The sequence below is a fragment of the Homo sapiens genome, chromosome 8, assembly GCF_000001405.40.
Source record: "Homo sapiens chromosome 8, GRCh38.p14 Primary Assembly".
NCBI classification, from domain to species: Eukaryota; Metazoa; Chordata; class Mammalia; order Primates; family Hominidae; genus Homo; species Homo sapiens.
Genome location: NC_000008.11, coordinates 94193662 through 94217278, shown reverse-complemented (window position 1 = coordinate 94217278; position 23617 = coordinate 94193662). Strand labels below are relative to the sequence as shown.

Sequence of the window (23617 nt, the reverse complement as noted above, 5' to 3'; positions counted from 1 at the left end):
GGCTGTGGATCTGAGTTGATCAATCTGCTTAGTGGACTTGAGTCCCCCCACCCCCGCTTGTCTGATTGGGGCTCCTGGGAGGTAAGTAGAGCTGGGCAGGAGGCTCACTCAGCGGCTGCTACGGGAGCTTTGCCGAGGGTAGCAGCTCAGGCTTTATTCTTATTATTTTTTGAATCAGATCCGGATTCAAATCTGAGAGAATCGATTTGTATCTTCTTTGCTCCTGTATTTATTTATTTGTAAAGTAGTAAAAATACCTTCCCGTGTTGCTGTGAAGATTGAGATGCAGAGCAAAATTGCTTGGTAGAGGGTAGACACCAAGCCAGCAGTTCTCAACCTCGGCTGCACGTTGGAACCAAGGGAAACTTTAAGAATGACTGCTGCCAGGCTTCACCAAAGACCAGTCAAATCACAATCCCAGTGGCTCTATGCGGCCAGCGTTGAGAACCCCTGTACTAAAAACTTATTTGTACTGAGAAAAACCTCTCTTTAGAGATAAAGAAGAGGAGTGGAGTTTGGATAACTTCTAGTCAAGTATTGTGTAGTTAACTACCATTGATTTTCTTTAGTATAAAGTGGTAACTTAGAAGAAGTACAGCTACCTCTGTCCTGTAAATCCCTTTAGATATAGTCCTGGTTCTAGGCAATTCCCTTTGTTTCTCATACTTAGGAGAGCAGACTTGGGAAGATCTGAGAATTAAAAAAAAAAAAAAAACAAACCCTCTGGAGCCCTCCCTTTTTGAGAAGCTGGTCTATCTAATCAGGTTTAAAGCAGGAGCATGTGGGCTAAGTGAGACTCCAGCAAGGAAGTGAGGGTCCTCCGCCGGCCTCCTCCCAGGCCTCCTTAGAAGGGATCTGACGCTGGCTGAGGCTCATTGATAGAGCCAGATGGTCTCTCCCAAGCAGGGCTTCTGTTCTCCCCTCCTCCTCCACTGCACTGTGGGCTGCTCCTGTGGACCACCCAAGGCAAGGGAATTACACAGATTGCAGATGTGAGCTTTCATTTCCTGTGTTTCCTCCTGTAGCTATTGGAAAATTCTAGTTTGAAGATAACATGGCTTTTCCAGAAACTCCTGGATTGTTCCTGAGACCAGGCCCAATGTAATCCTGAGTGGGAAAACTAAAGGGAGGAGAATTTGGCCTCCTTGTCTCCTGAGTTACTAGGTTTAGTCATGTAGAAAGAAAATAGTCTTCGTTCAGGCAGGCAGTTGAGTCAAGTTTATCTAGGGCTGAACTGCCTGGGCTGAGACACTATCAGAGGGGCTGAGGGGCCATTATGCCCACATTGTCATTTTCTACTTTATCCAGGGCAAAGATAATCTTTGTGTACTGAAATGTTCTTATTCACATTTTAAAAACACAAAAAACAAAAGAGGTCAAATAATAGGTAAAATTAGTTAAAAAAAAAAAAAAAACCTCGTATACTTAAAGGAAAATAAATGATTTTGGAAACCGTAAGACATTTCCGATAATAGAACAAAATGATCTGAAGGGCCTAGACCGAGGTAACTGAAAATGTTTAGCCTATGTTTTGTATATTTATGTCAGTTCAATTTCATTATTTTGCAGTGAATATGCATTAGTTGCAGGGAATACTTTTTTTAAGAACAGCTTTATTGAGATATAATTGACATATCATACAGCTTACCAACTTAAAGTGCACAATTCAGTAGTTTTTAGTGTATTCTCAGAGTTGTGCAACCACCACCACAATAAAACTTAGAAAATGTTCATCACTTTCAAAAGCAGCCCCATGTCTTTTAGCTCTCAGCTCTAAATTCCCCCTCTGCCCCCCAACTGCAGGCAACTCCGAAATCTTCTTTCTCTGTCTATGGACTTGCCTATTCCAGACATTTCATGTGAGTGGATTATATAATATTAGGCTTTTTTTGTCTGACTTTTTTCACTAAGCATAATGTTTTCAAGGTTTAGTCTTGTAGTATCAGTATTTCATATCTTTTTATATGAATATTCTATTATATGGATAGACAAATATTCTATCATATGGATACCACATTTTATCCATCAGTTGATGAATATTTGGGTTGTTTCTATCTCTTGGCTATTATGAATAATGCTGCTATGAATATTTGTGTACAAGTTTTTGTGTGATGTTTTTATTTCTCTTGGCTATATACCTAGGAGTGAAATTGCTAAGTCAAATGGTAACTCTATATTTAAGTTTTTGTTAAAACTCCCAGACTGTTTACCAAAGTGGTTGTGTTATTTTACATTCCCACCAGAAGCATATGAGGATTCTAATTTCTCCACATCATCTTCAACACTGGGTATTATCTCTTTTTTATTATAGCTGTCCTGGTGGGTATGAAACACCCTGGTGGGTATGAAATGCCATCTTATTGTGGTTTTGATTTGCATTTTGCTTATGCCTAAGGATGAGCATCTTTTCATGTGCTTTTTAGCTATTTGTATATCTTTTAAAAAATTTCTATTCAGATCCTTTATTTTTTGATTGGGTTGCTGTAAGAGTTGTTTATATCTTCTAGATACAGTTCATTTGTCAGATACGCGACTTACAAATATTTTCTTTCCTTCTATGAATTGTCTTTCACTTTCTTAACGGTGTTTTTTGAATCACAAAAGTTCTTAATTTTGATTAAGTCCAGTCCAATTTGTTTTTTTTTCTATTGTTATTTGTGCTTTTGGTGTCATAGCTAAGACATCATTTCCTAATCCAAGGCCATAAAGATTTACCCCTGCTTTCTTCTTAGAATTTTATAGTTTCAGCCCTTATAATTTATGTCTTTGATATATTTTAATTTTTCTGAATGGTGTGAGGTCAGGGTCCAGTTTCATTGTTTTGCATGTGAAGATCAATTTCACAATTTACTAAAAAGAGTATTCTTTCCCAGGAAATACTTCTCTTAAGGGCAGAATTTCCAGAGGCAATCCTGTTTTGGTGTCTAATGAGAGACCCACAGGCACAGAAGGGGGACCATTTAATAAGCCTTAGTGTCCAAGTCTGAGTCCTTCCAAGCAAAGCTCACATGCATGCTGGTCTCCTACTTGACCCCATGACAGTACTTCCTAGGCAGTCACTGCACACTGTCTGGCTAAGTGGTGATGACCACCAGGGCTAACATGAAGGGGTAGTGTTCTAGGAGGCGTATGTTTTGGAGAATTAAAACAGTACAGTTCACTATGGCTGTGTGGAGTTTGTTGTGCACATGGGACACCTTGGCGAAGTTGTGGAATAGTCAGTTGGATATAGAAAACCAGAGCTTTGACCAGAGGAGAGATCTGGTCTAGAGAGAGACTCGAGATGTTGGCAAGTAGATGGGAGCAGAGTTGACCTCCACAGAGTGAGTGACAGGACAGGATAACCTGGGATTGGGCCCAAGGAGTTGGATGAGTCACAAGTAGGACTGCAAGGGACTAGCTCAAGAGGTGGAAGGAAAATCAGAGTATTGGCAAGGAAGCCGGGGTAAAGGGAAATTTGAGGAGAGCTCGCCATGGTGTTGAAAGTTGTGAGAGGTCAGGTGAGGTGCAGACTGAAAAGCGTCCATCTGATTATCATGAGGAGGTTGTTGGCAACCTCGGTGAGGGTGGTTTCAGTGGAGCAGTGAAGATGGAAGCCAGACACTGTGATCTGAGCATGAGCTGGATGGGAGCAAAAGCTTGTTAGGTGAAATCTGATAAGAGACAGAGATAGGTCTCAGAAAACCAATAAGAATGATGGTCATTTCTTGGAATTTAAAGAAAATCCAAGATCAAATAAAAAGCTTAGCTGTCTGAGAAAAAAATGTCTGAGGGAAGATGAGCATGCTCATGTCTACCAGATCCAGCTTGCATGTTCAACATCAGACCGACTGCATCATTATCTCAGACATTCCTGCAGAAATGGGTTCTACATGGTGGGGTAATTAATCTCAATTCAGAATAGGCTTTGCTGAAGAATATTTACTGGAGGATAAAGCAATGATTCCTTAAGCTAGTGTTTCTCAGAAGGGCCTATGTAATCACCTGCATCAGAAATCCAGAGTGCCAGCCAGGCATGGTGGCTCACATCTGTAATACCAGCACTTTGGGAGACCGAGGCAGGAGAATCACTTGAGCTCAGGAGTTCAAGAGCAGCCTGAGCAACATAGAACCTATCTCTACAAAAAATTTTAAAATTAGCTGGTGTGGTGGCACTTGCCTGTAGTCCTAGCTACTTTGGAGGCTGAGGCAGGAGGATTACTTACGCCCAGGAAGTCGAGGCTGCAGTGAGCCATGATTACATGCTGCAGTCTAGCTTGGGCAACAGAGCAAGGGACCCAGGGACATACCCTGAACCAGGATTTCATAGTGTAAGCCCCAGTTTTAGTGAACTTCAGTTTGGAAAGACCTGGAAGGCATTTGTCCAATGTACAACTGATGATGTGAATACTTACTAGCCATCCCATTCATGAGATTCTCCAGCCACTTCATGGCATGCGTAGCTGGAGCCAGATTGAGGGCCCCGCCTGCTGGGCAGTTGCTTGGAGCCAGCATCTATAGATGAAGTTAAAAATCTTCCTGGAATAAACAAAGTACAAAGTGGGTCCACTTCTGTCAGAGTAGATAGTGGGGAAGAAAATCTTTACTAACCTCAAACTATCTTCCTTAAATATTTTTCAGAATATCGCAAGGTGGCTGTCAGCTAAGATTTTTAAACAGCATTATGTATGATTCAGTGTTTCTTACTTAGAACTAGTGATTCATTTTGTTATCTAAGTTTTAAATCTTGTGATAATTCTCTCAAGTGTTCTGGTTTGGAAAACTGCCAAAAAAAAAAAACTCAACAACAGAGAAGCCTCCAAACAAAAACCCCAAACCCAAACTCAGAAGTAAGTATAGGCCAGGCGCAGTGCCTTACACTTGTATTCCCAGCATTTTAAGAGGCTGAGGTGGGCAGATCTTAGACCCCAGGAGTTGGAGTCCAGCCTGGATGGATGAAACCCCATCTCTACAAAAAAAATGGGATATGGTGGTGTGTGCCTGTAGTCCCAGCTACTTGGGAGGCTTAGGTGGGAGGATGGCTTGAGCCTGAAGGGCCAAGGCTGCGGTGAGCCGAGATCGCACCACTGCACTCCAGCCTGTCAGCCTGTGACAGAGCGAGACCCTGTCTCCAAAAAAGTAAGAGCTACATGGAAGTAAGACCTGTTTTGCTTAAATTTATCAGAAAATGGACTCTGTCCTGGCCAGCAAAAGTAGTTAAGAAAGATTCTGCTTCAGCCTAAAACAATGACTAGCAGAAAATTAGTTTCACTTCATTCCACTAAATAAATGTGGAACAAAAACTGTGAACTCTAGGTTTCAGGGGGTTCAAAATTATTTGCTTTTCTGGGTTCCTATTGGCCTTGGTTGAGCCTGCAGGTAATCATGACTATTTAGAATTATTGAATTAAATAACTGAATGGAGTTGAGTCCTAAGAAGTACTTATTGAGTACTAATTGAAGACAAAGTTTCTGCCATCATCAAGTTAACAGAGCAAGACAGATATTAAGTAATTAAAATATTATTTTACACTTCTGTTAGGTGAGGGTTGTGTGTTGATGGACTCATGATAAAATATTCTGAATGTGTAGTATGTAACACATAAAGAACATAAAATGCAAGTACTTGAAAAATTGAGAAATTTACCACTCATAGATTTCATTTTGAGTTTTAAAGAATAAAAATAGGCCAGGAGCAGTGGCTCATGCCTGTAATCCCAGCACTTTGGGAGGCCAAGGCAGGCAGATCACCTGAGGTCAGGAGCTCAAGACCAGACTGGCCAACATGGTTAAACCCCGTCTCTACTAAAAATATAAAAAATTAGCCGGGTGTGGTGGTGGGCACCTGTAATCCCAGCTACATGGGAGGCTGAGGCAGGAGAATCACTTGAAACTGGGAGGCGGAGGTTGCAGTGAGCTGAGATTGTGCCATTGCACTCCAGCCTTGGGGACATCAAGACTCCATCTCAAAAAATAAATAAAATAAAATAAAAAAGAATATAAATATTAGAAATGTAACATGCTTTGACTTTTAGGAATAATTCCAAGTTTTCATAACTTTTTTGTCTGGGAGGCTATCTAGACTTTCTTACAAATGTCCATAAATTAATTACTTATTTATGGACATTTGTATTTTCTAGGGATAATATTGGAGGAATGCTTAAAACATTATAGACAAAAGCGTTGAAATGTTTTCACCACCATGAAGCTGTGAGTTGAAAGCATTAGCCCAAGTCCTTTCACTTGTTCAGTTTTGTTTTCTTTTTTTTTTTTTTTTTTGAGATGCAGTCTTGCTCTGTCGGCTAGGCTGGAGTGCAGTGGTGCAATCTCGGCTCAATGCAACCTCCACCTCCCAGGTTCAAATGATTCTCCTGAGTCAGCCTCCTGAGTAGCTGGGATTACAGGCACCTGCCACCACACCTGGCTAATTTTTGCATTTTTAGTAGAGATGAGGTTTCACCATGTTGGACAGGCTGGTCTCAAACTCCTGACCTCAGGTAATCTGCCTGCCTCAGCCTCCCAAAGTGCTGGGATTACAGGTGTGAGCCACTGCGCCTGGCCTTCAGTTGTTTTCATCCTATAAATCATACCTCCTTTGCTTTGGAAAATTAAATCAGTAATATTTATCAATTACATTTTCCTTATTCCTATTATTAGCAAGTCTATTGAACCAGCAATGTCTCACTTTTCATGAAAATGAGTTCCTAAAATGCAGTGGTGGCTACCTGAAACGTGCACATTCTTAACATTTGGATTTAATCTGGAAGGATGTCTAAACCATGTAAGGAATATATGAACAGCTCTCAGAATCTTGTTAACCTGGTATCCCACAGTACAGAAATAGCTTCTGTAATTCAGAAATGCAATAATCACCTGTTAATTTCTCTGATGGGTGGTTTAGGCATTTTCAGTGTTTAATTAACCTAATTCTTTGAGCTGGAAGCTGGGGGCTAGAGATAGCAAGTGATGTACAGAGGAACCCCATTTCGGAACTTGGCCATCTTCCAACAGGAATGGGCTCATGCAGGGATTTCTGCCCTTGGACTTTTTTTTTTTTTTTTTTTTTTTTTTTTACTCGCATAAAGCTGGAAGGAAAAAAATCTGGCAGAGTCTATAGCTGTAGTGAATAGGATGGGATTTGAATCAGAACAGGGTTGCAGTCCCGATTCTGTAGTCAAAGGCTGTGTGACTTAGACAAGAAATAAAACCTCTCTGTGTCCCCATTTTCTGTCTATAAACTGGAATCTACTTTGCAGACATGCTAAATGAGAAAACAGAATTTTAATTGATATACCAACATGTCACGATCATTGTTATTGTTGCTGAAAAACAATGACTATAAATGATACATATGCACTTTATTTTTGAAAAAAAAAAACTCATAAATTTAAAAGCACTTTATTATTTTAAAATTTTCAAAGAAGACCCAAACTTCTTTATGAACAATGCTGTGTGATGAGATGCTTGCCCTTGATTCCAGGAACTGAAACATGTGGCAAGTGGAAGCGATTTGATTTTGTAGAACAAGCACACTTTATTCAGCTAATGGGAGGGCAGAGGTGTGAAGAATGTGAGAAGTGCTTAGCCTCAATAACCTCATTCTTCTAAATGAGTGATGCTGGCTGTGGGACAAAGCAAGAAGGGCCTTTGCTGAACCCACCAGTCCACCAAGGATGTTAACAGCTGGCATGCAACTAGATGGTTTCACTTGCAGGGTCCTCAGGATAAATGAGGTCTATTCCCACAGTGGCTTAGAGCACTCATGAAACCTTCTCATGAAATCTGGAAAGGAGGGAGCCCTTCTAGAGAGTGGGCTGGGCTCTCTTGCTTTCCCTCTGTCAGATGCACACCTGGAGAGGAATGGAAAACACAACCTCAGCTCAGGAGAAGCCAAGAAATGAACATGAGAAGGTCCACAGAAACAGGGCCAAGTGTAACACACCAGACACAGACATGACATTGATGCTCACCTTCAGTGTGGATTCCCAGAGTGACCAAAGTGTGGAAATCAGGAATTGGTCTAAAAGAAGCCTTGACTTGAGAAATCTGGGGGCATTGGCTTTTATTGGTTAATCAAAAACCTCATTTTGATTGGGGAAAAATAAGTTGTTCCTAGGTAAATCCATTCCCTGAATTGTGGGGGGGAAAAAAGGACTTGGTTTGTGTTTGGGGGAAATTTGCTATCGGTTGTTTCTTGCAGACTTTGGAAGGGACCCTTGGATTTCAAAAGCAGGCACAGCCATATTGTGTCTTTCCTCATGTCTTCTGAGTCATTTATGATATCTCATGTGGCTGGTTATCAATGAACTGTGTCATTGCTCAGACATGGCGCCCCTGCTCCGTCTTTTGTGTTTGAGATGGAATCTACATAAATATTTGCTGATCAAGTCTCCTGTGCTAAGTGTTGGGGGTACAAAATATGGAAAGTCTTTGATGTCATGAACCTCACACTCTAGAGATAGTTGGATACACAAAAACTTTTCCACTCTAACTTCTTGTCTTTTCATTGACTCATCTACATTGAAAAATGTAGCAACCTGTTTTGAGATGGATTAGATGTAAGTTAAACTTCTTTTGATACAAAGTCATTTCTTTCCTGGAGTAAAAGTAATGACACTTTTTATGATACCCAGTGGCTCTCGAAGAGCAATAAAAAATGTTAATGGTTAATGTTTGACTGAAGCTGAAGGGAGAGGCTGGGAGGCAAAGCAGGGAAGAGGGAGTGTTCCCGGGGGAGATACTCCAGTCGTAGCAAGAGTCTCGACCACTGAATGGAAGAAAAGGACTTTTAACCACCATTTTGTGACTTACAGAAAGGTAAGGGCTGACATGTCTTAACTGTGTCAGTAACGTATTTATTCCAGAAGGACAAAGTAGATGGAGGGGGAGGGCACTTAAAAAGTTGCTTGACAAATTTGTTCCTTGAGGTGGGCTATGCAGATGCGGAGAAGGGAAATTTGTTGCTGGCATGACAAGTTTTGCTTATGGAGCACAATTTTTTTTTGTAGTTTCTTTTCATTGGTCCATATTTTATAAATTCATTTGATGAAGTGGCTGCAGTGAAATCAAGCTTGGCAGTGGAATTAAAGGGGAAATTGAGTTCTCTGATGTTTAAACAAGTATCACATCCATTCTTTGTGATGAGTATATAAAAGTCCCTGGTCTTAAGATGCTCTAGGGCTCTTGTATTCTAGAAATTGGGGTTGGAATCACATTCTCAAAAAGCATGTCATTCTATCTACTTCTCAGAGAATGAGATTCAATTTGGGATTCTTAGAATTGTCTAGGACACAGCAAGGGAGGGAACATGCAGAGAAGAAGAAAAGTCTTTTTGTAAAAGTACTAGAATAAGAATTGAAGACAGACAGACCTGCCTTCACAAGTGAGAGAAGAGGCTGATGTGCGTGTTAATCAGCTTCCTGGGCTGCTTTTGGCCTTGGTGGTGGAGTTACCACCTGCTAATGTGTGGTTATTTTTATGTTAAGCCACACACAGCTTATTGGTATCTTCAATGGTCCGATATTTGCCTCTGTCTTGGTCTTTTATGACAGGTGACTTTATAGGGACAGATGCCCTCTGTGGTAGGGGATGCCAAGCAGCAGATTGGAAGGACAGTGCCTTCTCTAATATTTTCTTGTCTTTATTTTTCTTCAAAAGCTTAAATAGCAAATGAGGCATTATTTGAAAGAAGAAGAAAAAACACATGTTTAGATGAAAGGAAGATGAATGCTATTCAGCTCTCACCAGGAAACAAAGCGAGTCCTTTACTGAGAGAGGGTTTCTAGTGAGTTACGGGGCCATATGAGTCTTCAGGGTTGGCCAAATGGGTTAGGCCAGTTTCATCATTTTCCAACCTGTGGGCACAGAACAGAGAGCTGCCACTAGAGACTTGCCTAACTAGGTAGTTGTGAGAAGTAAATTAGATAAGTAGGTAAAGAGCTTACTATGTTGCTTGGTGCATGGTACACATCCAGTGAATGTTAGCGCTCTGTTCCATGAGAAAGTTCAAGTAGGTGACTCAGGATGAATTGAGAAATTTTTGTTTCATTCTTTAGAAAAATAAGAAAAAAATCAGTGATGCCATAAAAATAGCATCTACCATTATGCAAGAGAGGAACTAATTCTATGTTCAGGAAGTAGGATTCAAAAATATGAGAATAATAAAACTATTGGTTTTGCTATATATATAGCATTTTAAAGCCCCTCTCATGGTTCCCATATAAGTCTTTGGGTGAGGTGCAGGTGGGGCATCCTTTGAAACTCACCCAGATGACCCCTGAAAAAAGTCATCACTGTTCAAGGTGAAGGTTACATTTCCGGTACCTCCTCCTTTCTCATACAAAAGGCAAAATATGGCTGGGTGTGGTGGGTCATTCCTGTAATTCCAGTACTTTGAGAAGCTGAGGAGGGAGAACCGCTTGTGCTGGAGTTCAAGACCAGCCTGGAAGGTCTGAACATAGGGAGATCCAGACTGTACAAGAAAATTAAAAATTAGCCAGGCATGATGGCACTTACCTATAGTCCTAGCGACTTGGGAGGCTGAGGTGAGAGGATTCCTTAAGCCCAGGAGGTTGAGGCTGCAGTGAGTCATGATTGTGCCACTGCATTCCAGCCTGGGTGACAGAGTGAGAACCTGTCTCAAAAAAAAAAAAAAAAAAAATCTGGATGATGTGCAAAATATATCCTGGCAGAAACTCTACTTCTCGTTCCATTGTCAAAAAAAATGTCTAGAAGGATGTGTCCCTCATTTTTCTTCCACATTAACAGCAACAGCTCTGAGGAGGAAAGCTGGGCATTGTCATGCTCCTTGCTCTGGAGGCCGACAAACAGTGCTTGAACAGAAGCTGGTTCACATGGGTAGAGATGTATAGATTTGACATAAAATTGCATTGATTCAGAAATCTCTGGTATCAGATTTAGAATGGGGCTAGTTGTTCTGTAACTGCTCGTTGATTATCCAAAGAAAGACACACGGAATTTTAAGGGAATACCTATCTACTTATTTGTTACTTGTAAGAACAGACAGGAAGAAGAAGGAATGTTTACTTAGGTACAAGAAATATTAACTTAATAAAAGCAGATATTCCCCTAGTGGCTGAGGTATTAACTACACTAAAGTTGATTTTTTTTTTTCACTTAAGCAATACGTAACAAGCTAAGCTATGCTTGATTTTTGTGTATGTGGTACAAAGAAAATTTCTCTTCAAATATTCTGTAAGACTGACATGGAATTCTCTCATTCATGATATTTCTGAGTTATTCATTTTTGACCATATACTTATTACTTAAAAATATTAGGACTTGTTCTTAAGTGACGGATGAGGAGAATGGAAATGGTAGATTTGTTCCCTTAACATCTAAGCTAAAGATGAGTTCTCTTCCTCACCAAGAGGCCATCTAGCAGAGTGGCTTGGTGCTTGGCCCCTGCATTCACACCACTTCCTCAAGCGCTCTAAGCATCAGTTTCCTGCTCTGTGGGATAACAACAGGACCCACATTATATGATTGTGTTGTTCAAGTAAGTTGTCCAAAGTGTTTAACTTAGCTTGCATTTGTTGAGCATTTGCTATTTTTTAAAACAATTCCAATGATTAAAAAAAAAAACAATTCATGAATGAGATTTCATCGTGGTCTGGCACCTTTTATTAAGCAGAATTAAATTTATTTTCCCTTCCTCTCCTACCCATCCCAGTTGTCAGTTACGATTTAATTACAGAAATTGGAAAGTGAACCTGCCATACTTAAGCATGACTGCACATTCTTGGCATTAAAATTCCTGCCTTGGGTCACTTTGCAAATGAACTGGTATTAGAGTATTTTTCTTTCTCTTCTCTTCTCTTTTCTTTCTTTCTTTCGATCCTTCAGTGTCTAAATCCTATGGGATGGAACCTAATTTAGATTTACTTCCTACTGAATTTCTAAGGCCAGGATGTGTTGCTTTATTATCTTGACAAAATGCTCATCCGTAAACTTTATATTACATAAAGAAATGTTGTGTAATACATAAAGAAACACTTTGTCAAAAAAAAGTCAAGCCACCCTTTATGAGAAATAGTGATTCCAGTCCTCCTCTTTAGTCCAGGGAAGATGCTTGTGATATTGTTCTGCTAGATCTGGGGGAGAAAGGGTCTCCCCCTGCCACCTTCTAGGGTTTTTGCGGGTATATAGCTGCACACGTGAGGGAAGTCAATGCTGAAATTCTTCCTGGCTACCTGCTTAAAACCCATTTATGCCTAGTGTTCCATTATTGGAACACTAAGCATGTGGGAGTTATTTATATCCTTCTGCACAAGGTCATCGTCAAGGTCTGATTGCAAAAATTCAAAAAATTGCAACCTCAGGTATAAATGGGTTACAACATCAGGCAAGTGCCCTGGTGGGACAGTCACTGTTGTCCCTAGGTCAGTGGCTCCCTTTCCTGTGACTGCTCTGGCCCCCCTTCCATTCAATGCTGGGATGTTTTGGGAGACTTGGAGGAGAGGCCTCTTCTCCCCAGCTGATCCTTCCCTTGCTCTGTCTTGGGGAGCACTGGGGGAACAAACGCCAACCAGGAACAACATGACACCTCTCTCAAATATTTCTTGGAACTTGTTATTCTTTTCTTTAATAAGAATAATTATGCTAGTAATCCCATTACTGGGTATATACCCAAAGGATTATAAATCATTCTACTATAAAGACACATGTACACGTGTGTTTATTGCAGCACTATTTACAATAGCAAAGACTTGGAGCCAACCAAAATGCCCATCAATGATAGACTGGATTAAGAAAATGTGGCACATATACACCATGGAATACTATGCAGCCATAAAAAAGAATGATTTCATGTCCTTTTCAGGGACATGGATGAAGCTGGGAACCATCATTCTCAGCAAACTAACACAGGAACAGAAAACCAAACTCTGCATGTTCTCACTCATAAGGGGGAGTTAACAATGAGAACACATGACACAGGGGAACATCACACATCGGGGCCTGTCCTGGGGTGGGAGGCAAGCGGAGGGAGAGTATTAGGACAAATCCCTAATGCATGTGGGGCTAAAACCTAAATGACGGGTTGATGGGTGCAGCAAACCACCATGGCACGTCTATACCTATATAACAAACCTGCATGTTCTGCACATGTATCCCAGAACTTAAAGTAAAATTTTTAAAAAAAGAAAAAGTGAGACAAACATTTTTTAAAAAAAGAATAATTATGCTAGTAATGTGTATTATAATTGATTATATCAATCTAAACCATTTTAAGTTCTCCAGGGGACCATTTAGCCTCCCGTGAGCCCATCTTCCCTATCATGAACCTATTGGTAGAACAAATCATCACCTCTAATTTTGCATGTGTGTAAATCCAGATTTTCATATACTGAAAGATTGGCATATCTATATTACAGAGTTTAGTGACAGAAAGCTGGGCTTATGTTTATGTATGTATGTTCATCCCTCCCTCCCTCCTTTCCTTCCTTCTTCCCTGTCTTCCTCTCTGCTCTAAAAACAAATCATCCAGCTGCCCATTCCCTCCCCATGTGGAGTAATCTGTTTGAAGTGTGAGGCAGAAGCCCAGATTTATACCTGTCTGCTTGTTTCTAGCTTATTAATGGCCACTTTAATTGGGTCCTTAATTTGTCAAAAGTGCAAATTGGTCAGATGCTTCTGCGGTTCTCTAAACCTTGAGTGATGCAATTGGTGCCAGAGATCTGTGAGCCAGACCAAAAAGATGGGCGTGGCAGATCTGAACATTAATCGATGAAAAATGGTTTGGGCGAGATTTTCATCTGATCTTTATATCTATCTGGCCTTGCCTTATAATTTATGCCGCTCTTAGCAATATACAGTGAGGAGGAAAAATAAATGGCTCACAGGATATTTGGCACTGTTTGGTCCTGGTGGTGTTATGAATTCCAGTCACATCCCTTCCTGCCCACACTACCTTAGGATATTTGAAAACAAATTCTGTAGCTCTCTCCTTCTGCAACTTCTTTGTTCTTTGAAGCTTCATGGCTCAGCCTTAGTGCTAGGTGAATTATTTTAATTCAAAGCCCTTCATGCTTTTTAAAAAATAAATAAATAAGAGATGACTGACTCTAAGATTTGTCTATCACTTAGCTTTTTTCACGGGGGACAAAAATCAATGCTTATGTGTTGACTTGTAAATCTGGAGATCTGGGACGTAGAAACTCCTTGTCCTTACTCAAATAAATGGGTAAATGACAAGAGCGTCTAAACATCACCTTCCCATCTTGCAAGATGGTGGGTGAAAAAGTTGAGAAGCCGGATACTAAGGAGAAGAAACCTGAAGCTAACAAGGCTTTGCCAGTGGCAAGGTGAAAAGGGGAACCTCAGAGCTAAAAAGCCCAAGAAGGGGAAGCCCAAAATCCTGTCCTCATTGGAGGAATTGGCAGATATTCCTGATCTGCTATGTATTCCAGAAAGGCCATGTACGAGAGGAGGTACTTAGCTGCTAAACCCAAGATTGAAAAGAATCTCGCAACCGTTACAAACCCAGTTGAGGTGACAAGAATGGTGATGCCTGGCTATTTAAACTTCACAAAATGCCTTGATATTATCCAACAGAGATGTGCCTCAAAAGCTGTCCAGCCATCGCAAGAAACTCTGCAGTCAGCATGTGAGAAAACTTGGAGCCAGCACGGCCCTCGAGACCATTCTGCTCATCCTCCCTTGGTGCCACCAAGGCAGGAGGGTGGTTTTCCTGGAGCAGCTGGGCAGTAGCTTGTTACTTGTGGCTGGACCTCTGGTCTTCCATGGAGTTCCTCTGTGAAGGACACACCAGAAATTTGTCATCACCACCTCCATAAAAATTGATATCAGGACTGGGTGCAGTGGCTCACACCTATAATCCCAGCACTCTGGGAGGTCAAGGTGGGTGGATCACTTGAGGCCAGGAGTTCGAGACCAACCTGGCCAACATGGCGAAACCTCCGTCTCCATTAAAAATACAAAAATTAGCCGGGTATGGTGGCACACACCTGTAATCCCAGCTACTTGAGAGGCTGAGGCATGAGAATCACTTGAACCTGGGAGCTGGAGGTTGCAGTGAGCTGAGATGGCGTCATTGCACTCCAGCCTGGGCATCAGAGCAAGACTGTCTCAAAAAAAAAAAAAAAATCGATACCAGCAGTGTGAGAAACCCAAAACATCTTACCAATGCCTACTTTAAGAAGCAGTTGTGGAAGCCTAGTCAGTAGGAGGGTGAGATCTTTGACAGAAAAAGAGAAATGTAAGACTACAAAGCAGTGCAAGGCTGATCAGAAAACCATGGACTGGCAAATTTTACCAAAACTCAAAGCTATTCCTCAGCTCCAGGGCTACCTGCAATCTGTGTGTGCCCTGGTGAATGGAATTTATCCTCACAAATTGGTGTTCTAAATTTCTTAAGAAGAACCTAATTATGTAACTAAAAAAAAATAAATGAATGCCGTTAATCCCCTTGGGAGCTTGGAGCCTGGTGGGAGAATCAAGGAAGCCTTGGGTGGGCTGCTGGGATGCGGGGGGTCCCTAGGTGTCTAATGACTGAGCAGAGCCCCCTGTGAGGCCACCTCTGTCCTGGGACAGCAGCACAGGCTAAACAAAAGTTCCATGGGGTCTTCATTTGCTAGGGCTGCCTTAACAAAATACCACAGAACGGGAGGCTTAAACAGCAGATATTTACCATCTCAGTTCTGGTGACCAGAAGTCCAAAATCAAGAGGGCAGTAGGGTTGGTTCCTCCTGAGAGCTGTGAAGGAAGGATCTTCTGTGCACCTCTCTCCTTGGCTTGTAGATGGCTGTCTGTACATTCACACAGTGTTCTTTCTTTGTGGATGAGCCTGTCTCCAAATCTCTTCTTAGAAGGACATCAGTCATTGTGGATTAGAGCCCACTCTAACAACCTCATTTTAACTTCGTTACCTCTGTAAAGACTCCAAATAAAGTCACATTCTGAGGTGCTTGGAAGTTAGGACTCCAACATATGCTTTTTGAGGGGGAGGGAGACACAATTCTACCCATAGCATTTGGATTGATTTAAAAAAGGGAAGATTCCTAAGGTGAAGCACAGAAATGAGGAGAAATAGTGAGACACAGAGATACATTTGCAGTAGAAACAAAACTTCCCAGACCAAGGCAGCCTTTTCCTCCAGGCAGGTCGGGGCAGGTCATGTCAGCATCTGAAAAAAAGAGCAGCTGCAAAGTAGGGGGAAAAAACCTTTTCAACATTTTGGAAAGATCTGTAGTGGATTAAATGATACTTGGTGTCTCATCATCAGGATATTTGTGTTTCAGAGGGAGTGAAAATTAGCCTGGCATTGTGACCTTGGGCAAGTCTCTTAATTTCTGTGGTCTTCATCGTTTGATTTTTCATTTCATCTTTAAGAGGTATATTATAATAGCATCTGCTCCATAGAGTTGTTCTGAGAAATCAGCAAGATAGTTTTTCACCACCAAGTCTTATCGGTGCATGCAGCAAATTGTTTTCAGTCAATGTTTGCTGCCTTTGTCGTTATCCGGGCTGGATGCAGATCCAGGCCGCGGCGGGATTCCCATGTCTTCTGTTGTGTGGTAGATTAAAATGAGGCACTGTTCCTGCAGAGCAAGCCCAGCAGCCCTGGTTCCCGTCTGCAAGCAGGTGCCCTGGTCTACTGTTGAGCAAGTGGTGGTCATGGTGGTGCCCATTGGGTGAGGGGCAGCCACAGTTTGGGAACCGAGGCCTTCTTTTCAAAACTCCTTTTTTTGTAAAAAAAAAAAAAAAAAAAAAAAAAAAAAAACAAAAGATAATAATAATAACCCTCTGATCTATGTTGCAAAGGGTGTGCTTGGTCTCTCAAATAATTGCTGTAGTAACTGTCTGAATTTAGTCCTTGTATCTGAGGGAAATCCTGACAAACGGCAAAAATTCCACGCAGACGGTTGGCCAATTATTACAGGTAGTTCAGATAAAATGCCACAGAATCCTCTGGAAATCTATTTCAATTCTTTTCCAAGTAGTGTTTTTGAGGAAACCTAGGTGTCTGGCTTGGTGGTTTCGGGCAATTTCAGTGATGAAGGATGGCTTCCCATCAGCACCATTGCGACCCAGGGTACCCCACACTTGAATGGTATTGTGTCCATGGAAGGAGGAAGTGTAGGTGGGACCTGTTTGAGAGACCAAAGTCCTCTTTTGACATAATCCTAGCACTAGTGTAGTTTGCCTTGAATCATTCGGGTAAAGGCTTTGCCTTGCTGCCTCATTTGGCTGTGAGGATGTTCCTGTGTAGGCTGTTTTTAGAATATTTTCATTAGTGGGCCACCAAAAGTTGGGAATTGTGAAGAGAAATGTCCTGTTGGACAATGTTTACAGTTTTGACTAAGCAAACGTGAGTGGCAAAATGAATTTTTGGCCAACAGTATTCCAAATATTAACTCGCTGAATCTCTTAACTCTCGAAGGTAGGTATTATTATTATTATCCCTGCTTTATAGATGAGTAGATAGGGCCACGAGTCAGCCGGTGGAGGAGTTAAGACCCAAGCCAGCCAGTCTAACTCCTGGGTCTATGCTCCTAACAACCGCATGGTGTGGTAGATTTGTCTTCAAATAAATCATGGCACCCTACGTGTGGCAATGGAAAGCAGTGACTTCTACTTCCCACTGGAAACCCTCGGTGAGGGGCAGGCCTAAATGTAAATGACAAAATAAAGGATAAGTACATTTCTCCTTCTACTTCCTAGGTTCCATTGAAACATCCCAGACAGTGATCTCTCTGAGCATCTGACCAAAATAAGGCATTCCTTTTATTTTTATTTGCTTTTCTATCATTTAACTTGTGTTTTTCTGGAAGACTGAAGGTGTTAAAAAAAAAAAAATTAGTTCAAGAAGAGATGATCTAGTTCGACCAGTTCTGGGTTATTTACTGAGCAGAAATCTGTTAGTGTATTCAAAGGAGAAACAACTCTTTTCATCAACAATAAAAATGTATTACACAATAAAGCTTTGAATGTTGAATGAGTTTCCTTTAATATATCATGTTTATTGAAAGCTCTTACAGGTGAGAACAAATTAATAAGATATCCATGTTAGGTAATCATAAATGTTTTAGAATTTACCCAACATCTGATGATGGCTTGATATATGCAAGGGATAGTATGAAGAGACCTGATAAGTTAAAAATAAGGCCTCTGCCCTTAAGGATTTTATTTAATAGTGGCAGTAATGCTAACAGACAAATGATAAAAAAAAAAAAATATATATATATATATATATATATATATATATATATATATATATATCAATCAGAACTGGCTCTGAGAGGAAGAGACTGGCTGGAAATCAAGGAAGATTTCATGAAGGAAGTAGGGTTTAGGTCCTAGCTCCATGAAGATAGAACCTGTACCCCTTATTTTGGTACCCCAGTTCTTGGCACGGTATCTGGGACATACTAGAAGTGGTGTAGTTCATTGCTATTTAAATAATTAAGTTGAACTTAGATGGTAAGATGTGAGAAGCAGAAATGAGGAAACATCTCCATCCAACCTCATTAAGCAAATATCCATTGTCCATTTTCTCTGGGCCAGGCCTTGTGCCAGGCAGGGAGAGCAGCAGGGGTGAGAGCTTGGCTGCCAGAGAGCTCAGGGTGCAAAGTCCATCTGGGTGGAGGTGTGACTGGGTGTGGGAAGGGAGTGGCAGATAAGGCTGGAAGAGTTGGGAGCAGCATTTGAAAGATCTTGAATGCTGAGGAGTTTAAGGAGAAAGATCTCCCAATGTGTCATTATTGCCTATATTTTTACTTGTATTAAGCAAATACAGGTTGATAGCTGACCGTGTACATTTTGCTAATATTACAGAAAACTAGTTTGTTAGACTTAATTTATTCATTTATAATTGATAATATCATCTTGCAATATGCTAGAATCTGAGGTTGTTACTTGTTTCTATGTGTTTCCAAACCAAATAAGTACTCTAAAGCAGTAATGTCTTGTTTAACTATGAGTTAATTCTAAAATGATGTTTAGATATGTCAACCAAATTAATTATGTTGCAAAAGCTAATTTTTAAACATGCAAGGAATTTATGAATCTTGGAGTCCTGAAGGGTTTTAATCCTAGCTTTTCCTTAAAATAGTTGTGGAATTTCAGGGCAAGTTGCTTAATTTATATAGCATGTATAAATATATATACATACATACATGATATTTGTATATCTCTACAGCTCTATCTCTGTCCATGCTCTATGTCATACATCTACATCTAGGTAGCTATCAAACTATATAAAGCACAGTAGCAAGAGTTGAAATTCCAGAGTTTAAACTCTGGAATTGATAATCTGGTTGGAGGCAAGGTAATGTCACTTCCTAGCTGTATGTCTTTAGGCAAATTGCTTGACTTTTAACCTCAATTTTCTCACCTACAAAATGAGAAGAACAATTCCCAGCTCATTATATCTGAGAAAATCATAGGAGCACAAACTTTTTCTTTTTTTCTTTTTTTTTTTTTTTTTTTAGACAGAGTCTCGTTCCATCACCCAGGCTGGAGTACAATGGCCCAGTCTCAACTCACTGCAACCTCTGCCTTCCAGGTTCAAGCAATTCTCCTGCCTCAGCCTCCCAAGTAGCTGGGACTACAGGCACCTACTGCCACTTCTGGCTAATTTTTGTATTTTTAGTAGAGACGGGGTTTCACTATGTTGACCAGGCTTGTCTCGAACTGCTGACCTTGTGATCTGCCTGCCTCAGCCTCCCAAAGTGCTGGGATTACAGGCCTGAGCCACCGTGCCTGGCCAAGAGGACAAACTTATTATTGAGCAATGGCTATGTGTTTTCCATGTGAGGAGACTAAGGCACCGAAAGATGAAGTAGTATATCCATAGCCACATAGCTATAGAGAGCAGTGCTGCGTTGCTAGGCCAGCTTTCTGACTCCAAGCCTACCTGCCATACCACTCTGTTACTGTTTTTATTTTTAATTTTAATTTATTATTTATTTTTATTTTTTGAGACAGGGTCTCGCTCTGTCACCCAGGCTGCAGTGCAGTGGCGCAATCATGGCTGGCTGCAACCTCTGCCTCCTGGGCTCAAGTGATCCTCCCACCTCAGCCTCCCAGGTGAAGTGGCATCATTGTCTGGGATAAATACCCGAGGTCATCAACTCAGGGTAGAGAAATAGAAAACCTGGGCAAACAAGAAGTGAGTTTAAGAGCAGAGGTTTAATAGGCAAAAGAAAGAGAAAGCGGATTAGCTCTATCTCCTGCAGATAGAGGGGGGTGCCCGAGTGGGTCTTCCGGTTTTGTGGTGAAATGGCACAGGGTTTTATATATGAACTTGAGGAGGCGGTATCTGATTTACACAGGGCCGGAGAGATTGGTTGGACCAGGTGTGATGTTTGCATAGTGCTTGAAGAAGCTGGCCTAATCTTTTATTATGCAGATGGATTCTCTACCTGGCTAGCACCATATAGTCTGTTGCTTACTGTACACGTGGTTACAAAGAAAAGGGAAGATGGAGCCGCCGTGTTGAACATGCCCGGCCCCCAGATAGCCTTTTCCTATTGGCCGAGCTGCTGGCATTCACCTGTGGAAACTTCCAGCTTGCTTATCTATGTCTGCAGCTGGATTCTACAGGCTGCTCTTTGTTAGAAATGATTTTGGGGCTGCTTTTTGTTAAAAGGAAACCTTACTGAGGACTCTCTTACCCTTACTATCTGCCTAAATAATTTATTTCCAGCTCCTGTATCACAAGTAGCTGGGATTACAGGCAATGAGTCACCCACCTGGCTAATTTTTGTGTTTTTAGTAGAGATGGGGGTCTCGCCATGTTGGCCAGGGTGGTCTCAAACTCCTGAGCTCAAGCAACCCACCTGCCTCGGTCTCCCAAAGTGCTGGGCTTCTGGATGTGAACCATTGTTTCCCGCCTGTTACTGTTTTTAAAGACCTCTCTGCAAATCTACATCCTGGGTGATGCTTAATAAAGGATTGTTTCTTTATCTCCCAGAACATTGGTGAGGCTAAAATGAAATAGCATTTTTACCCTTTAAAGTTCAAATATAAGTTATGCAAATGTAGGGCATGTAAAATTTTCAGGATCTAAATTTTTAGAGTGGTTAAAATGTTAGTGAAATTTTTTCCATGCTGGTGATATTAGTGATATGTGTTCAATGTAGAAAAACTTTAAAGAATAAGATGATGAAGTAAACCAAGATTATTCCTAATCTCTAGAGATAATAAAGTGATTGGAATTTTCGTGAAATAAATACATTGAAAAAATTTTCTTGACTCAGCCAGGTGTGGTGGCTCACGCCTGTAATCCCAGCACTTTGGGAGGCCGACGCAGGCAGATCACGAGGTCGGGAGATTGAGACCATCGTGGCTAACACGGCAAAACCCCATCTCTACTAAAAATACAAAAAATTAGCCAGGCGTGGTGGCAGGCGCCTGTAGTCCCAGCTACTTGGGAGGCTGAGGCAGGAGAATGGTGTAAACCTGGGAGGCGGAGCTTGCAATAAGCTGAGATCGTGCCACTGCACTCCAGCCTGGGCGACAGAGCAGGACTCTGTCTCCAAAAAAAAAAAAAAAAATTTCCTTGACTGTCTTTTGGGGAGGGGCAGTCCAAACTTATGACAGGTAACAACACTGTTTTCCAGGCCATGTGGAAAATTTCTCTCACATCTTAAAATCAATTAGTCATGACATGTCTCATAGTGAAAGTCACAATCTCTGTGAAATGGGAAGCCTTAAGGAGGAAGGGAAAAATAATATCGGACAGGAGACAATAAGGACAGAGTTCAGATTTTTGTTTGATCTCTTTTGGAATAGTAAGAAATTAATTTTTTCTTAGGTTTATTGTGTAGGTAATGACAATATCTAGAAGATCAAAGAGGCAGCTGGTGACATCTTTGAATGAAGAATTGTGAGCATTCTTTAGTTCTTTTCACTTGCGGAATCTCATATGTTTGTGGCTTTGAATCAAAATGTTTAGTTATCCTGGAATCTGCCAAAATACATCTTCTCCATCTGTATAATAGGAGTGAAAGGAATACTCATTGCTGGCTGGGCATCTGTAATCCCAGCACTTTGGGAGGCCGACGCAGGCAGATCACCTGAAGTCAGGAATTCGAAACTAGCTTGGTCACCATGGTGAAATCCTGTCTCTACTAAAAATACAAAAAATTAGCCAGGCGTGGTGATGGGCATTTGTAATCCCAGCTACTTGGGAAGCTAAGGTGGGAGAACTGCTTGAACCCAGGAGGTGGAGGTTGCAGTGAGATGAGATTGCACCACTGCACTACAGCCTGGATGACAAAGTGAGACTGCGTTTCCAAAAACCCCAAAACAAACACTCATTGCCCATCATTTAAGACGCTGAAATGAAGAAGATCATAACAAAGCAAAGCAGTTAGATAAATGGAATTATTGTGAGCATGTTTTGAGATGTTGGCTTGCATATTGCTATGGATGATGTGCATGAAGCTTCTGGAAGACTGGGCTGCTCCATATAGAGGAGAGGCTGGCCTTTTGGGATACCATTTTACTAGATTTATAACTGGATATCATCCATTGATTCTTACTGATTGGAAAGACATGATTTTAACAGACTGGTAACTAACCATTTTTTTATCTGGTTCCTTCACAGGAATTTGAATAAAGAAAACTATGATACTTCAGGCCCATCTTCACTCCCTGTGTCTTCTTATGCTTTATTTGGTAAGAGAAGAGGGTGTTCTTCTCTATTTGTTTACTAGAATATTTTCTGCTATCTTTCTACCCCACACCAGGGAAAGAATGGCTATTATTACTTAAAAAAAGATGACCTATCAAAATTAAGTTGTTGTATAGAATGGAAACATAGCTTGTTCCACTGTGATATTTTCGATGAAATGGCTACAAATCACATGTCTGCCCTCGACTAGGGAATGTATTTTCTTTCCAGCTCTTAAAAGCCAACACCAGTTATGGGTAATGTTGAAAACAAATCTATCTATAGCTCAGGGAATCTGAAATGACATTGCACTGATACATGAATTAGTCTGTGTCCCTTAATCTTGACTTTCTTTTTTAAACTTTGCGCATGAAAACTTACCACCAAAACATCAAGAAAAGCATTTTCTCTATTTTCAGCCTTGCTCTGCTCTATACTTTTCTTCTCATCAAGGGTTTGGAATTTTCTGGTTGTCTTTAACCATTTGTTGGGTTAACCCTATTGACTGACAGGCTTCTAGAGCTCGGAGCTGGATAGAAACTGGGGAGTCCTCACCCTTGACCTTGGGGTAAACAGTAGGTGCCTTTTTTTAAAATCTACGTGACTGCTGAGGTTCATAAAGGTTGCCCCCAAAATTGCTGCATTATGAAACGAGATTATAAGATTTAGAGGAAGCATTTGCTCTCTTTTTTTTTTTTTTAAAGAAGGAAGCTTCTAGATCCTCATACCTCAAATCTTACTTCCTTTCTTCTGGGATCCATAAATAATACATCAAATTTCAAGTCCCAAAAAATACCCTAGAGCTCACATAGTGACAGTGTGAAATTGAATGAAACTTGAAAACTATCAGAGCCTTCCTCCCGGGGGAAATCTGCAGTTCAAACTTTATGAGAAGCCTGAGTCCTCACAGCCTGCAGGCTCAAAGCCTGTCTCCAGGATTGTGGAAGGGCTGGATCAAACATCCCCACTTGACCTCTC

General features: G+C 41.0%; 1 protein-coding gene and 1 pseudogene across 14 annotated transcripts in view, besides 1 other annotated feature; both read left to right on the top strand.

Moving 5' to 3' along the window:
- Positions 1-23617, top strand: part of CDH17 (cadherin 17) — a 90117-nt gene continuing 66500 nt past the window's right edge. For 10 of the 14 annotated variants that reach the window (NR_182224.1, NM_001413961.1, NM_001413957.1 and 7 more), the window contains exons 1-2: positions 8724-8796; positions 22574-22644. Coding sequence is in view for 10 of the 14 variants with exons in the window: in NM_001413957.1 (NP_001400886.1) it covers positions 22594-22644 (51 nt within the window). In the remaining 4 variants the exon portion in view is untranslated. Of the gene's footprint in view, positions 82-8723; positions 8797-14553; positions 14860-19947; positions 20050-22573; positions 22645-23617 lie in introns of those variants that run through there. The other 4 variants (NM_001413953.1, NM_001413952.1, NM_001144663.2 and 1 more) reach the window with 4 other exon arrangements.
- Positions 9998-11197: an enhancer, noted in NCBI's record as "CDK7 strongly-dependent group 2 enhancer chr8:95218310-95219509 (GRCh37/hg19 assembly coordinates)". NCBI's record gives its function as "activates an origin of replication core promoter dependent on BRD2, BRD4, P300/CBP, MED14 and CDK7 cofactors, with strong dependence on CDK7, by STARR-seq in HCT116 cells {active_cell/tissue: HCT116}" and the evidence as "EXISTENCE:reporter gene assay evidence [ECO:0000049][PMID:35650434]".
- RPL6P23 (ribosomal protein L6 pseudogene 23) lies at positions 14207-15396 on the top strand (annotated as a pseudogene).